This window comes from Homo sapiens, chromosome 8 (genome assembly GCF_000001405.40).
Source record: "Homo sapiens chromosome 8, GRCh38.p14 Primary Assembly".
Taxonomy (NCBI): domain Eukaryota; kingdom Metazoa; phylum Chordata; class Mammalia; order Primates; family Hominidae; genus Homo; species Homo sapiens.
Window position 1 is genome coordinate 117,834,996 of NC_000008.11, and position 17,378 is coordinate 117,852,373.

Below are 17,378 nucleotides of genomic sequence, written 5' to 3' on the forward strand. Positions count from 1 at the left end.
ACACCCAGACTGGATCATTTGAGGAACGATAACACTAATTACAAGAACAAGCCCTAGAGACCTCTCTCTTTCTGAAAATTAATCTGAAGGCAAGTGCAGAAACAGAGGAAAAGAATATGAAACAGTAGGGTAGAATAAAAACTCTCTGGTAATATTTCTAAAAATTCTGGTTATTGAAAGGGGTGGAGATCCACTTCTTCTTGAAAATCAAAGCTCCCATTCTTTACCTGCAACTTCTTTTCAGAATATATTCTGGGGACCTGGGGAGATTTTGTTGGAAAGTGAACAATGTCATATTAAATGACTTCATATTCACCATGACACAGGTAATTTTCTCCTGATAAGATTTCTTTTATAGAGCTGACCTTTTGGATTCATCTTCTTTGAAAGTTTGGACGGGGGCAGCAATAATCTGCTGATGTGTTGAAGGCCACAGCCCCTTCCTTACCTGTAATAACAATCTCTCATCGCCTATGACGGCAGCTTGGTTCCAATTAATCACTTCAGAGAATGGCAACTCCCATCCATTGCTGAGCATCACAGGGACGCAGGCAGCCTGAGCAAAAAAGGGGACTTCGTGAATGTGAGGAAAGCGACAGCAGAAGCTGTTCCAATCAGAGGTGAAATCAGTACAAACTCAATGACTGGCATTTTTGACACTGCATGAATCCTGGACTGCCTAGGCCAGAAGGAAAGGAAGCTTTTATGAGTTATCAAGTCACACGAAGGTTGTACGTATCCAGACTAGATTTTAATATTTGCAAGTCTTGCCCTAGAATGCTAAAACCCCATTTCTATTCTAGTACATGGTTTGGCTGACCTTACTTCCATAGAGACGACTGGCCTTGCTGGAGAAGTTTTTATTGACGTAACAAAAGCTCGCACCAACAAAATCTGAGTATAGAACCAACCTTGAATATAAACAGTCTGGTCAACGTAACTCCCACAAGTCCACGTGCAAAGTGGTTTACCCCAATGTCATGAGCAACAAAGAGCAGAATGAAGCTCAGCATTCCTAGGCAGCAGTTCGTGGACTTAACCAGTATAGAGTGTTCACATTTCCCTTGCTCTGCAAACACCCAAACCAGAACTTTGTTCCTTTCAGTGTGGAGTGATCTAAACCACAGTCATACCAATTTATGGTCTGTGCCGGGAAATAAACAGCCAAGAAACACTAGGTTAATGACAAAATACTGATTCCAAATAACTCATAATCCAAATCAGAGAACAATTTTTCTTTATGCAGCATCCCAGGAGGCTACAAGAACATTAGTGATGGCATGCTATGCAGAACACACACAGAGAGCAACTTGGAAAAGACATTCCAGAGAAGGAAGCTCTTCTGTTGGAGGGCATGACAGAATGATTTGCAGTTAAGATGGCAGAGATAAGAAGTTATGAGGCACTGCAGCAAAAGCACAGATTTAGGCATGGTGCAGGGCAAGAGGAGGAAAGAACATAGTAGCAAAGGGTCAAGGAATGGAGGATGAGAGAGGTTGAGGGCATGCTTTCTCTCTGCAATCAAAGAAGGCTGGTTGCAACTTCCAGGTGGGAAATGTGGATGACTGTCTCAAGAGGACATTTCTGCAGAGTGAGGTTGATGAGCTGAGAAACTCCCACCACAAAGGCTCCAGGGCTGGAGCCAGGACCTCTGAACTGCAGAGCCTTGGAAGAGCTGGATCATCTGAGTAGTACCACCATGCTGGGGATCATTCTCAAAATTGAAAGGAACTGAGAGACAATGAAGATGCAGGCAGAAAAGACAATTTTGCTTTTAGAGAGTACCACGAATAAAGGGAAAGTGTAGGGCTGCTTTTTAGAGTCCAGCTAGGCTGCCTGGTAGGCCAAGCTGGCAATTAGATTTGCCTTCTGTTTCTAAACATGACCCAGAAGAATCCACCATTTAATTTCTTACATCTAAAATTACTGAGTAAATCCTCCCTCCACCCCTCACTTGTCAAAAATGTTTTAGATTTTCTTGAAAATATTTTCAGATCCTCAAGGGAAACCACACCTTCTCTTTAGCTATCCCAGGAGAGGTGATAATGTTAAACCCACTTAATCTGGCTTCGGTCCTCAGCCCTATTCTGGGAAGGCTCCAGGGCCTCTTACCTGCAAAGCCTCCAGGAATCTGAAGGACCCAAGCCTGCGACCACGAGGAACCAGACAGAAAGTGGCATTGTGCAGCATTTCCCGATAATCATACCTAGAAAGAGAAGAGGAGTAAACAGCAAATGAAGACTCATTGCGAATGTGGGGATATTGACCATAGGTGGGCGCCCATGTGCATGAATTTACGCAAAGCAACTCGGGAAAGCCACCAGCAGGCAGCTCTCACTTTTCCATTTTGAGGAAGGAGGTTGGGTTGCTGCATGAAGAGTAAACATGAATCATCATGTTGGACAAAGCAATTAGGATCCCTTTTGCAAGCAGTATATATAAAGACAAGTCTGATCGTTCTGGCAACAATTTGGTTTGCCCAGTCTTTGCTTCCAAAATCAGATTTTTAAGTCTTGATAAAATATGTTGCCCCATAGTCTTAAAAAGAAGAAGAGAAAATTACTGGTGCTTCTCCTTCTCCTTTAACAATACGGCATTCAGCAAAACTAAGACTGTTCTTGTTCCCCACCCCTTCAAAACCATGCTATTAAAAACTATTCAGAAAACCTCAATCACAGGCACAAAACAACATTTGTCTTCTCTTTCAAGATGGAGTTTCTACACTTAACCAAGAACGTTCAGTTACCCAGGAAAAATATTCCTGTTTAAGAATGGCTGACATAACTCACAGGAGAAAGAGGAGGTGAGAGAGAAGGATGCTAGCCTAAGAAAGGGAAAGAAAGAATAACGAGAAAAGAAAAGAAAAAAAAAAAACCTGAACTAGGAGGGGGTACAGGAAACTGGTCTACAGAAGAGATGAATTTATTTTACTCAAATACCATTTAATGATATTACATTGCTTTTGCTTTTCGAAAAAACATACAAAATATGAGTGTTACCTGTTTCTTTATGCCAGTGAAGTTTAAGAAAGATAAAAAGCATTTCATTTTGTTTAGGACTGTCACTTTTAAAGTGATTACCACAAACACATTCCTACACAGGCAGTTTCAAGTACATTATGAGTTTAAGAAAACTTGGGAAAGTAGAGATGGCTCATGTCCTGTAAAGGCCCCGATTCTTAGAGCCAAGATGAAATCACTCTCATTTTTCAAGAGCTTCCAATGCTGAGCAGACAGGTGTGACTTTGACAGTAGCATATGTCACCACCACTTTCTGACTCTAATAGTCTAATTTAATCATAGCCTAAAGGCACTGAATTCTTCCCTCTTCTTTTTGGGTATATTGGTATATACATTTATATTTTTAAAGTCCACATCTATTTTTATATTCTCATACAAACTAGGCATACGGGAGTAAGCCAATTTTCAATTATAAACCCGCCATTAAGAAGAGACATCATGCAAAGGACCATTTGCTTAAACAAGCGTGTACAACTAATTTGCACAAGAAAAGGTCACCGTGAATGGATTAAGATTATCTCCATTGAGAGTAAAAATTTTCTAAAACCCTTGCTGCATTAATTAAATTGCAAAATAGACTTCAAAGTAAAAAAGATTTTTAAGAAGGCTTGAATTTAGTTAAATATAAAAAAAAAATAAATTAGATGGTAGTGATTTCTTCATCCTCACCAAACACAGGAAAATGGTTGACAAATATCTTCAAGTTCAAATGTTGATAATGTTTTAATCTCTGCCTAATAGATGGAGCAGAGAGAAATATGCACACACACACACACTCACAAAAATATATGCATAAAGTTTAAGCTGATTTTTTTTTAATACAGAAAGGTCGAATATACTTCAGACTACAGCAAGGTTTAATAAGTACCCAGAATAGAAACCCCTGAGGGACTAGCACAGAAGGTCCCACATTCTCATCATTAGCCTACTAAAAATGTAAAATCCTATTAATGTTCTGCATTGTAACAAGTTTCAAAGTTCCTAGTTGCAGAATTTACTTTAGGGAATGTGTGGAGGAAGAGGAAGGGCAGAAAACTTATAGGAAAAATTCAAATGACAGTTATAGTGGGTTGCTTAAATGGTTACATAGAAGGACTATTTGCTGATATAGCAAGTAAGATTGACATGATCGAAGCTTGTATTCCTTCACATAATAGGTAATAGGAGCTGTGGGAAGAATACCCTTGCAGGAGTTAGGAAACCACTAGGTAGCTGTGAGACTTAAAAAACCCATGAATTTTCTATCTGTTTCCTCATCTGCAAAATGAACTACTTGGGCTAGATGACTATAGATTCAGTTTTAATACTTGATTACTCTTTATCTTATCATTTTTGGGTAAGAAAGAGGAATGTCCTTTGAGAATATCCCACTGCTTAGGTGTCCATACCATTATATGTATGTGTATATGTGCACAATTCCATACCCATATATGTGTGTATATGTATATACATACGTATCTGTTCATATGTATGCAGTGCATGTCTAACATATGTGTGTATTCACATAGAGGCTCATACAGAACATGTACACTCATACCTTAGAACAATGATTTTCATTCAGATTTCTATGCATGCTCAGCCTGTGAACCAGCCTCTCTATTCTACTCTCTGGACAGTCAATCTATGAATTACTAACATGTTCTACCTGAAGGAAGAATGATGCCCCACAAGTGGGCAGACAACTATTCTAGTTTGACCACGTGCTTGATCCTCTCCTACTCAGCCCATTGTGATGCTCTTTCACACTGCACATCAACCTCCTTGTAGATGCTTAAATCCACTCATTTATTCATTCATTCTTTCAAGAAATACTATGTTTCAGACACTGTCCCATTTCAACAGATAGAGTCCAGAGAAGGTCTTCTCTAGTTGCTGGAGCTACCAAAGAAGCACCTGACAATGAGAAAATGCTGATGAGATGAGAATTTAAGATATAAACATCTCCTGGGAGTATTTGCATTATAAGAGGAGATTATAGAAGGCCGACCTTTCAGAAGATACACAAAGAAGTCTGTGGCCACTCTCCCCAGCAAAACAGCAATTTAGTAACAATCATAAAAACATTTTAAGTCTCTGAGAATTGTCCTAAGGGGATAATGACAAATAGAGAAACAGTCACCCAAGAAAATCTACCAAATCTTGGCAAGAACCATGAGAGTCTGTGGCATCTGGTCCCTGACCTGTTCCATGACCAACCCCTACTAGCTCTGCCTTACAGGAGCTTTACTCTGGGGCAGTGCAGTCAGGAAGGCTGGGCTCTCCATCCCCCCAGGTCCCATCAAGAAAGTGAAAAAGAGCCTACAGAAAGAGAGAACCACCGGGCATGGTGGTTCACACCTGTAATCCCAGCACTTTGGGAGGCCCAGGCAGGCAGATCACCTGATGTCAGGAGATTGAAACCAGTCTGGCCAACATGGTGTAACCTCAACTCTACTAAAAATACAAAATTAGCTGGGCATGGTAGCACATGCCTGTAATCTCAGCTACTTGGGAGGCTGAGGAAGAAGAATCACTTGAAACTGGGAGGTGGAGGTTGCAGTGAGCCAAGATAGTGCCATTGTACTCCAGCCTGGGCAACAAGAGCGAAACTCTATCTCAAAAAGAAAAAAAAAAAAAAGAAAGAGAGAACGTATTTGCCAATCATATATGATAAGGGACTTTCATCTAGAATACATAAAGAACTCTTCTGACTCAACAATAAAAAGATAAATAATCAAACTTTAAAAGAGGCTAAGGATTTGAATAAACATTTTTCCAAAGAAGACACACAAAGTGCTGCTAAACACATGAAAATATATTCAACATCAATAGTCACTAGGGAAAAGCAAATCATAACTACAATGAATGAGATACCACTTTACACCCACTGGGATGGCTATAAGCAAAATGACAGATGAGAGCAAGTGCTGATGAGGATGTAAAGAGATTAGAACCCTTCATACATTTCTAGCAGGAAGGTAAAACGGTGCAGCCACTTCGAAAAATAGTTTGGCAGTTCCTTTTCAAACTAAAAATGGACTTACCATATGACCCAGTAATTGCACTCTTGGGCATGTATCCCAGAGAAATGGAAACTTATTTTCACGCAGAAACTTGTCCACAAATGTTCACAGCAGTTTGTCTGTAATAACCTTAAACTGGAAACTACCCAAATGTCCTTCAATGTGTGAATGATTCAACAAATTGTGGTACATCCATAGCCTACAATCCTTCTCAGCAATAAAGTGGGACAAACTATTGATACACACGACAACTTCAAGGAAATTATGCTGCATTAAAAAGTCACCCTCGAAAGTGTACATACTGTTGAATCCTTTCTATATGACATTCATGAAATCACATAGTTACAGGGATAAAGAACACTTAGAGGTTGCCATTGGTTGGGGGGAGGAGGAAAGACAGGGAGACTTGAGAGGTCAAATGGGGGGACACAGTGTTTTAAGATGGACTAATTCTCCCTCGTTTCTTATGTTTAGAAATGTGAATCACATAATCACACACTACTTAAAAGAAACATATGATATCCTAAGCAAGAAGGTAAGTAGGTGAGGGAGACAACTAACCCCAGATAATTTGCCACTCTAATAAATGGTTTTGCTACCCTTTTCAGATGGGCATTAAGTTCCCCACGTGTAGGTAAAGAAGGACAAAAGGTAGAAGAATTTTCACAAACGACTACAAAGAAAAATGCAATAAAAATGACATGACCTTGAATTTAACCTAGACACTAGTACCACTCTATGGCCATAATCATTTTATACTTAAAGTTGTATTGAACAATGTATGGGATGCACCCCATTTAAAATGGACTATGCAATAATGCACAATTGAAGTCCTGCCCCTCTGTAGGAAACACATTTTTGCTGGCAGCCATTCTGTGCAACTGGGAAAGATGGGGGAGTGTAGCATAGAGCAGGGGTTCTCAAAGTGTGTTCTTCCAATCAGTGGCAACATCTGCATCATCTGGGAACTTGGTAGAAATGCAAATTCTCAGCCTCACCCAAACCTGCTGAATCAGAAACTCTGGGGGAAGAGCCCAGAATTCTGTGTTTTAACAAGCCCTCTGGATAATTATGATGCACCCTAAATTTTCAGAACCACTGGCACCATAGTTAAGAGCTTAGTAATTAAAAGCTTAGTGGTTAGGCAGCTTCAGACACAGCAAAACCTGGGTTCGAATTCCAGCTTTTCAATTTATAAACTGAGTAATCTTGAGAAAGTTATTTAATTTGTTTAATCCTAGTTTCTTGGTTGGCAAAATGGGGATAATACTTATACTGTGAGGATTAAGTGATACATTTTAACCAAAGCACGAGCATATTATAAGCAAACCATAAAAGGTAGCTATTATCATTATGACTGAAGGAAGATAACAGAACATAATGGAAAACACAGCCAGCTTCAAGTTAGAAAATCTGGGCTAAGGAATTTGGGTTCTTGATCTACCACTTCCTGTGTAACCCCAGCAAATCATTCAACTTCTCCAAACCTCAAAGTTTTGAAGATCAAATGAAATCATGTACATTGAATATAAATGGCAAAGCACTATGCAATTGCAAGTTATTATGGTAAATTATATCAGAATAAGAGGGATATAAACATTTTTAAAACCCCTAGTAACAATTAAAAAGAATGAAAACTACACCAGTATCCCAAAGACAGAGCCAAGAGACAAATGTGGAACAGACCCTTTAAAGTAAAATGGAAACAGAAGCTGTGAATCACAACAGAACAGCAGCTTCTAATTGAAGGCTTTTGCCTTATTATCAAAAGCTACATAGACAAGGATGTTGCTGGTGCACTGTGCTCACAGGTCCTCCTGTGGCTCCCACAATCCCTCTGTAGCACGCATATTTGCCAAGTGAACCTGCTTTTTGCTAACCAAAGACGATAGGGAAGAAACAAGTGATCCAGCCTCTCATCTCTGTACTCACACAATTCTAGCCTCCCCATGATGTTGTCACAGTTTGTCTCAAGTATTTATTCATAAAGTAACTTAACATCTACAGCTGATCTACTCCCTCCAGTCCCCATCCTCATAAGTAATTAATCTTTCCTTATACACAAGTTTGAATAATATCCCTTAAGAAAAAAAGAAAGAAAGAAAATAAAAATAATTTATGACTGTTGTAGTTCTCTAAAGTGCATGGGGATGAGAGAAATGAAATTAACATCCTTTGAGCACCTCCTTGCGCCTTTTTCATTCATTCACCAAGCATTAGTTGAATGTCTACCATGTGTCAGGCACTCTTCAGGGAGCTCACTGTCCAGAATAAACAACATGTGTTATCAAATGATGATTAGTCAGCGAGAGGAGTGCTAGGATTGGACATGAGGTAGAGGTGGGTGTTATACAGAGAAGAGAAGCAATGGCCACATGTAGGCAGGGAGGCCTCCTGGAGGAAGTGAGACCCTGAGCTAAATCTTAAAGGATGTACAAGAAGCAACCAGGCACAGGGGTAAGAGGAGGTGATGGGAATTCCTGGGGGTAGAGATAGCATAGCAGGAACAAAGGCACCAAGGTGAGAGAAACCACCCAGTTTGGGGAGGGGAAGGTATGGGGGTGTGGGCTGCTGTTACTGGTGGGTTGCCACTAGGAAGGCTTTCTATGACATCTCCTAGAGCTCAGAGATGATCCCTTGCAGGTGACTGGGGTGTCACTGAAGGGCTTGAGCAGAAGAATGACATGGTACCAATGGTGTTCTCAGGACTTCATATAACCCAATTTCATAGAGAAGCAATTAAGTTTGGAGACCTCAAAAACCCTTCCAATGCAGGTCACAGCTAGGACCAACCAGCCTGTGTTCCAACTCCTGGATTTCTCATTCTAAATCCCATTTTCTTTCCATTACATCACATTGCCTCCTTGGTCAGCCCATACAACATGCAGTGTCTAAAACTGACATGTCTTATGAAGCCAGGTCCTAAGCAGTTCACCTAGTTTCAAGCATGGGCTATTCGTTGCCAATTTAAAAGGGCTGTTTCTCTCCCATTCAAAACTTCACCCCAGATCACTACCAGGAGCTCAGTTTAAGAAGGTACTCTGTCATCTATTTACTAACCATGTTGCCTTAGACCCTTCCTTGGCCTTTAAAGGTTTAACAGTTTAAAATTTCAATTACTATTATTATTATTATTATTATTATTATTATTTTGAGACAAGATCTTGCTCTGTCACCCAGGCTGCAGTGCAGTGGTGAGATCACAGTTCACTGCAGCCCCGACCTCCTGGGCTCAGGCAATCCTCCTGTCTCAGCCTCCTGAGTAGGTGGGACTACAGGCATGTACCACCATGTCAAGCTAATTTTTAAACTTTTTGTAGAGATGGGGTCTCACTTTGTTGCCCAGGCTGGTCTTGAACTCCTGGGCTCAAGTGATCCTCCTACCTCAGCCTCTCAAAGTGGTGGGATTACAGGAGTGAGCCACCATACCTGGCCTAAAATTTCAGTTATTTTTGAGAAAACTGAAGTTTACAGCATGCAGTCGTACGGAATTGCCCAAGGCAAAGATTTGAACTGAGAAACATATATAAGTGGGAACCAATCTTTTAGCTGGAAAATGGGTCCAACTGGCCACTGTTCCATCTCAATTAGGAGACTTGAAAACATAGAATATGGAAAAGTATAGGTCCCTGGTGTCTTTGAGAATTCTCTGGACTTAAGGAGCCACAGTTTCTCCATGACACCTACTCACACAGAGTCTCTGTGCACACAAATGAGCTGCTATAGTACAAATGAGCTATGCAAATGTGCAGTGCTAGGCTCTGGGACTGGCTGACCAGGTTGGCTGCAGCTTCAGGGATGCTTGGCGTCCCCAAGCAGGAAGGCACTCGCTATTTGGAGGTGGTACAATTCCTTACTCAAGACAGTTTTTTGCCTTGAGCATTGCCTGCTGTTAGAACTGCCACACCACTCCCCACCTCCCCAGTCATGCCAAGGATTAAGAATTTATTTCCTTGTGACGCTCCTCAGTCTGAGGCTGCTGATCCCAAGCTGTCCACCGCAGAGAGCAGTGCGTGGCTAAAACCAGGGCCAGGAATTTATATTCACCCTTTCACACTTCTTGGCTTTCCACAGAAGAGAGTCTCCTTTTCATGTCCTCTTAAAATCCATTTCAGCATAGGGAAGGGAGGCAGATAACATTTTGTGGGCTGGGGCTGAGGCATGAAACCCCTATGGGAGGCATTCACTCTCATATCCATGATCTCATGACAGCCTCACAACCACTGGGGACGTGGGGAAAGATACACCTGTCTTTCACAGGGATGAGGGAGTCAGAAGAGTCCTTGGACTCAAACATCTTGACTGAACACGCCAGGTCATAATCTCTTATCAACTCTAAACTCCACCCCCCATCCTTAGGTTAAATGTCTACTGACAGTTCAGAACCTTAAACTTAGCCCAAGTGGTAATTGCTACCTGTGTATATTAATGAACACAACATGTACCAGGTGTAGCTCATACTTCAAGAGGGGTAAAAGATGACCATCTGAATTCCTGCTCATTAAATAACAGCTCAATGGCTAATATATAAAAGTAAGTAAAAAAAAAAAATAAATAAAAGATAGCTATTAATAACAACTTTTTAAAAACTTTTTTTAAATTTTAATTTTTTATAGAGACGAGTCTTGCTATGTTGCCCAGGCTGGTCTTGAACTCCTGGCCTCAAGTGATCCTCCCACATCCTTCCCAGTCCCCAAAGTATTGAGATGACAGGCATGAGCCACCATGCCTGGCCAGATATAAATTATAATAACAACAATACCTCCACTTTTTAAGCATTTCCTGTGGGTGGGGCACTGAGCTGCACAATCTGTAATCTTTACTGTGCCTTATCTTTACCACCATCATGGAGAATAGGTGCTACTGACCCCAGTTTACAGATGATGAAGTAAAGTGTCACAGGTTTTGTTCGGTTTGTGCAAGGAGGATGGGATCCACGACCAGCTCTGTCATCTCTCAACCTACCTAGGAGGAAAGAGTAACGAGGTGCCAGCAAAGGTGAAAATAAGAGACATTTAATACATCGTGCCCATGACATTAATCTCAGGAAGCTTTCTGAAAGAGGAGAGGTTTTGCAGCACCAGCTTTTTCTTTTTTCCCCCCTTTGAGCAGAGTCTTCTTGCTCTGTTGCTCAGGCTGGAGTGCAGTGGCATGATCTCAGCTCACTAAAACCTCTGCCTCCTGGGTTCAAGTGATTCTTGTGCCTCAGACTCCCAAGTAGGTGGGACTACAGGTGTGTGCCACCATGCTCAGTTAATTTTTGTATTTTTAGTAGAGATGGGGTTTCATCATGTTGGTCAGGCTGGTCTTGAACTCCTGGCCTCAAGTGATACACCTGCCTCGGCCTCCCAAAGTGTTGGGATTATAGGCGTGAGCCATCGTGCCTGGCCAGCACCAGCTTTTATACACAGCAATACCCACTTCCAAAACTCTTCTCAGAGAAATGCAATTCCAAGACACATGGGCCTAAATTCTCTGGTTCAAAACAAAACGTTTTTGAAAATGCTAAATAAAGGGCTACCTGAGTACAGTGGCAGGGAGGGGGTGCAGGGGGAAAAGAGGGGATTAACAATAAAAGAGCCAGCAGCAACAGTGAACTCAGATGGATAAATGGGTCCAGAAGAGTCACACACAGGCCCAATGGTGATGGGGAAGCCTGAGGTCATTATCTTACCATTAACTACCTTTCGCCAGGCTCTAAGCCAATGGGACTGGTTAAGTGGAATGGAGCCAGGAAGTATGGACAGCAGCCCGAGAAGACCAGGATAGGGGTGGGCAGCGCAGTGTGTCTGTTCTAAGGGTGTCAGCTCCCCACCTAGGACAATCTGAGTCCCAGGAGGCTGGCTGTGGAGGGAGCACTTCTTCCCTACATGCCCCTCTTTCCTTCTTTTTCTTAACTTCCACTCCTGCTGCCTAGAGGAAGGCTTCCCTGATCCCTGGAGTTTGGGAACCCTGTGCTAACTCTCTATTGCTCACTCTGTATTAAGTTGCCCATTTTTCTCATTTCCTTCCCCTGGATTCCGGGACACAGGACCTTGGTCCTACTTTCTGTTGACCCAACAACTACCTTAAGGGCCGGCCTACTGTAACTACTCAAAAAAAGAGTTGTTAAATGAATGTAAGGTGCTCAGTGTCCACCAATTTGCATTAAAGTGTACAGGGGCTATGGAAGCAAGAAGATAACAAAGATAAGATGCAAGCCCTTCATTACAACAATGTCCACTTTAACAAACACATGCCCAACTCTTGATTTATGCTGGGTTCTTCCAAGAATGAGTTCATTCCTATGCTTACACCAAGCCCAATTTACTTGGGGAATGAAAAATCGTGTTATTTATTTAGTCTTCCTTTTGTACATTTTAAAATCCCTTCTCTGTTTTTATTTCTACAGGTCTGGCAGCTTGTTAAAAATGTCATTTTCTCCCTGCACGCTGATGAGGGTAGAAAATTTGTGTTTCACCAGCCCTGACAAATAGCATTATTTGTAAATCAAGTTAAATGCATGCACAGTGCGGTTCAAACTGAACCTTCTCCTGGCCTTCCTCCATGTCTGAACTGAAGAATAAAAAGCTGTAGAACCTCCTCATGGCTTCTGCAATGACAAACCCTGCACCAGTCCAAAAAGCAATGACTCCCTCCCTCTGCACAGAAAACTGAGCTCGAACCAATGTCTGACCACTTCCCTTCTTGATCCAAGATATCCTTTCCAGCAAGGCCAGCCTGGATCAGGCCTCGGATTAGGAGGATGTTTGGCATTCCTACTGTTCTCACCCCCAGGGCAGGCACTGTGCAGAGTCTGTCCCGTGACCTGCATTCTTGTCAGTGTTTAATCCTTTTGTCTGGCCCCTGCACTTAAGTGGTTATAAAATATCTTGAGAATCCAATGACAGTTTGTGGAATGTCAGCTGATGCCACCAACCTCACCTTCCCATTTTCTCTCCCACTGTTGCATCACTAGCCTCTGCCTTGTGACTTTGACAGTCAGGGCTGCCACCTCACTCCTGAGCCTTTGGTACCGAATACACAAACAAGACCTCAGAACTCTGTGTAGGCTGATATAGCACATTCACAAAAAATTCTAGAACACCCAACTTACTATGAACGCTGCATGAAGCTAGTTGTCTATGGAAAGTTTAATCTTTCCCGTCTGGGTATGTGAATGCATAAATGTAGAGATACATGGGTGTATCCATGGGACATAACATTTGGGTTATGGTTGAAGATTTGATGCCACATATTATTGATTTACAGGAATATCTTTGCATGAAGGTTGAGTCCTTAGGGATTAGAGAGGCCCACAAGTCTAGATTCTGCCATTTCCTTAGGCAGAAGTACAACAGTACCCTGGGGAAGATGGTCTGTGGAGCTGAATCACCTCTCCCTCCTCCTCCTCCAGCTGGCCATGCTTCCCACAGTTCCTTTGAGAAGCAGACAGAGCCAGCTAGCTCCCTGGCACTCTCATTCTGGAAAGAGGCTGTGGGACAGAAAGAAAATTTAAGCACTGGATTGAGGAGAGGTGGACCAGATGGCCCAAAGGATGCCTTCATGCCCTGATATTTACTCACTGGACAAAGGAGTATTGAGCAGGCCCTACATGTCAGGTAGCACTCTGAGCACTGGGACGCCATGAAGCAAGAGTACTCCAGGAGCTGCCCATTCATGGATTTTGCAATTCAGTGACAGCCAGAGTCTCCTCACACCCTTCTTCCTATACCTCCTTAATCCCATTCCTCCTTCAGCTCAAGCGTGCATGAACAGAGCAACAGAAACCATACTCTGGTTCTTACTAGTTTTAAACAGAATGAGTTCAATCGTATCTTCCTGCAGTCCATAGTCTATAGAGCAGCCAAAGACAACTTTCAAATGTCACCCCCCCAGTCTGAACACCCTCCAGTGGCTCCTCCTGGCACTTAGAATAATAATCATGCCCTACACCTTGGCCGACTGGGTCCCATGAGAACTGGCCTCTGCCCACATCTCTGACTGCCCCATCCTCAGTCACCATCTACAGCTACAAAGTCCGGCTCTCAATTTCTTGACAGAGAATGCTAACTTCTATCTCTTGCACTTGCACTTGCTGTGCCCTCTGCCTGGAATTCTTCTCCAGGATGTCTCTCAAGCTGCCTATAAGCATTCAAATAGCCCCTTCTCAGAGAGGCCAGCACAGACCAACCTGTGCTCCTGGCACTCTCTTTCTGTTGCCCTGTTTCATCTCCATCCTGGCATTTACCAAGGTCAGAATTCACACATGTATTTGTTTTACTGGCTTACCTTCTTTCTCCCCAAATGTAATGTATACTGCATGAGAGAAGGGAGTGTTCCTGTTCTTATTCACCACTGTGACCCCAGACCCTGTACTATGCCTGGCCCACAGTAATCTTTTAGGAAATATTTGTTGAACCTATGTCAGATTATTCAACACTCACCCCATTCCTCATGGGTTTATAAAGCCTAGGTCATAAAGTGTCTGAACTGCTGGCAATGTTTGCAGGGATAATTCATATGACAAGTTTCTAAAAGGATATAGAGAAGTTTTCTTTCATCTTTGTTTTATACGACGCTAGCTTTCTCTCTCTAGTTAATGGTATGATTCGTCAAGTTCTCCAAATGCCATCTGCTATGAAAGCAAGAGCCCAATAAAAATGTCTGCAGAAGAAATTTCTTAAAGAACATCTTTAGAGATGTTTATGTAAAGTGATACAATGAAACCCTGCACAAATTAATAACTAAAGCATTTATGAATATTAGAAAGGATGAGGCCAAAAATTTTCTTGGAACAGTTTTTGTACATATGAGGTAAAATGCAGAAGATGTCAAAGGCCTGGCATTGTTATGTTTCTTTTGCCTTTTCTTTGCGTCCCAAATTATTATGGCATATACCCAAAATCCATCTACTGCTTCAGAAGTATAGATCATTTTCCAAAAGAAGCATCTGGAATAGCTAATTTGTTACCAAAGCCGGTGATTAAACACACATGATACTGTGGGGCTGAATGGCTGGCCATGAGTCCCAGTTTTCCATTGTATTGGGTTTCAGCTATTAACCAATCAGTCTGTTTTTAGAGTATGAATTTGTAATGTAGATGGCTCAGAACTCTTGGCTACGGGGCCCTTAATGGGACAGCATTTCTGTCACATGGAATTCTTGTTGCTTGGTTTCCATTAAGGTATCTTGGCTTTTAAATAAACTGTCAAGTAAAACTTGGCATCAAAACACAAAGTGAGTAACTTCCTTTGTTGAGTCGTTGACAGCTCCGCTGTGTGTCAGATAGATAGCTGCTAAGAGTCAGCTCTAAAGGCGATTGCAGTCTCTTTGGAAGGATGCTGGTATCACAAACTGCCTTCCTCAGGATTAAGGCTAAGCAAAATTTAGGGATAATCTTTATGGAAAGTTAACCCAGCAACGGCCAGTCGACCATATCCCTCTCCACAAGTGTTGGTTTTGGAATTATAAAAGTTTTGGAGGTGTGAAAACATAATTGGAAAACTTTTTTTCCCTGCTTAAAGGGCTAATTGATTTCACAGGTGTTTAATTATCATTTGCTGTGAGATAATACCTTGTAGTGCCATAAAAAATGGATTTAATTTTCTAGTGCTTGCAAAACCATTTCCAAAGCCAAGTCAGAGCTAAAGCTAGATAACTATTCTATAAATCAAACACACTGCCTCCTTTCTTTGAAATTTTTAATACTTGGGGATAATGATATCTGACAACCTTGAAACTAACATGAAAAGGATTTTTCTGCCAAGTGCCAAAAGTCAACCATTGGAGCATTTCAGGCAGTTTGGTTCATTAACAGTGACTCAGGCAGCCTCAGGACCCTGCCTGCAGGCTTCCAAAACACCCCAAGGGTAGACCATTGGTGTGTGTCAGGACACAATATTATCTACCAAGACCAAATGGTCATATATCCAATAAGGTCTACAGAAAAACAGAAATAAAACCCAAACCACCCTTAGCACAAAAAACTGCCTGGAAACAACTGTAACTCTCTAAGCTCAAACTAAGAGTCCTGGAACTTAGAAAGTGGAGATGTTTCAACTTGATCAAGGGATACTTTCCTATCTTATGCTTAAGGCACAACACTTGTGCTTTCTGTAATAACAAGGGAGGGAATCATAAAATCAAACAAATGTTAACAGCTGGAAGGCACCACAAAGATCATCCAGTCCAAATATCCAGATGAAAAAAAGCAGCCAGGAGAGGTCAAGTAACTTACCCAAGATATCACCAGGGGCAGAACCAAGATAAAAAGAATAATTCTGAGTGAGCAGAGAAAGGAAAAGAAAGCTTGAAAATAGATTTAGAGTCCCATTCTCACCCAAAATCTAAAAATACAAGGAAGAATTTTTAAAAAGACAAAAAAAAAAAAAGTGAGGTTTCATTCTGTAAGAGGAGTGGCTATTTCTTCAACGGAGCCCAGTTTCCACAGAAGTGCTTAAGCTGCCTTAAATAACTACATGGGGGTTTTAGTTGGTGCCACGTTTCGGATTTTTTTTTTTCTCTCCAACTTCTATTCAGAAGCTGCTGAAATCCTACCATGTTCCATTAGATTAAGTGTGCTTAAATGATCTAAGAAAGCAGTGCAATTTAGCTGGACACACACACACACACACACACACACACACACACCATTATTTAATTTATTTAATGCATTTGTATGGAGGGTGCACATACCCTAAACCACTAAATGACAAAGATTTTTCAGGCAGTTCAGGTTGGCCTTCACAGTGCTGGATAAAATAATATACAGCAATATGCAGTATAATTGGTGCCATTCTTGGACACTGTGTTTGGGCCCTGGTAGTAAAAGCCTGGGCCAAAGTCATGTGGGCTGAAAGGGCAGGGGACAACATGGGCCCCAGTATAGTCTGAAAAGGGTTGGAATGGAAGGGCATCCATAGGGACTGGCTTGGGATTGCAATGAAACTCCTTCAATGAATAAAAATGGTGGTAATAACTCTAGCTAACATTTATTGAGAACTTATTACATGCCCAACTCTCTGCAAAGCACTTTATGTCCATTTGGCCATTTGCTCTTCCAAAAATCCTATGAAGTAAGTAGCATTATATCTCCCATTTTGTAGAAGAGGAAATTGAGGATTACACCTAATTTGTCTAAATTCACTTAATAAGCAGGTGGGTATAATTTGAACTGAGGCATTGTGACTTCAGGACCCAAGTTATTGTACACAATTGCACGTTGCCTCCTTTCCATAATGCTTTTTGGAGATGTCCCATTGGCTAGCTAAGTGAGCTCTGTCATGAGGGACACCATGAGAACCACTATGAAATGCAAGGGACTAATTTATGTCTTCTAACCAAAGATGTGCCTGACATGGGGAGAGAGCTTTT

At 41.6% G+C, this 17,378-nt stretch overlaps 1 protein-coding gene across 1 annotated transcript in view; it reads right to left on the bottom strand.

Annotated features, from left to right (window-relative positions):
- EXT1 (exostosin glycosyltransferase 1) overlaps positions 1–17,378 on the bottom strand; it is a 317,337-nt gene that overhangs the window by 40,506 nt on the left and 259,453 nt on the right. The window contains exons 2-3 of the mRNA NM_000127.3: positions 2,113–2,206; positions 449–556 (exon numbers count right to left, since the gene is read on the bottom strand). Of these exons, the coding sequence (NP_000118.2) occupies positions 449–556; positions 2,113–2,206 (202 nt within the window). The remainder of the gene's footprint in view (positions 1–448; positions 557–2,112; positions 2,207–17,378) is intronic.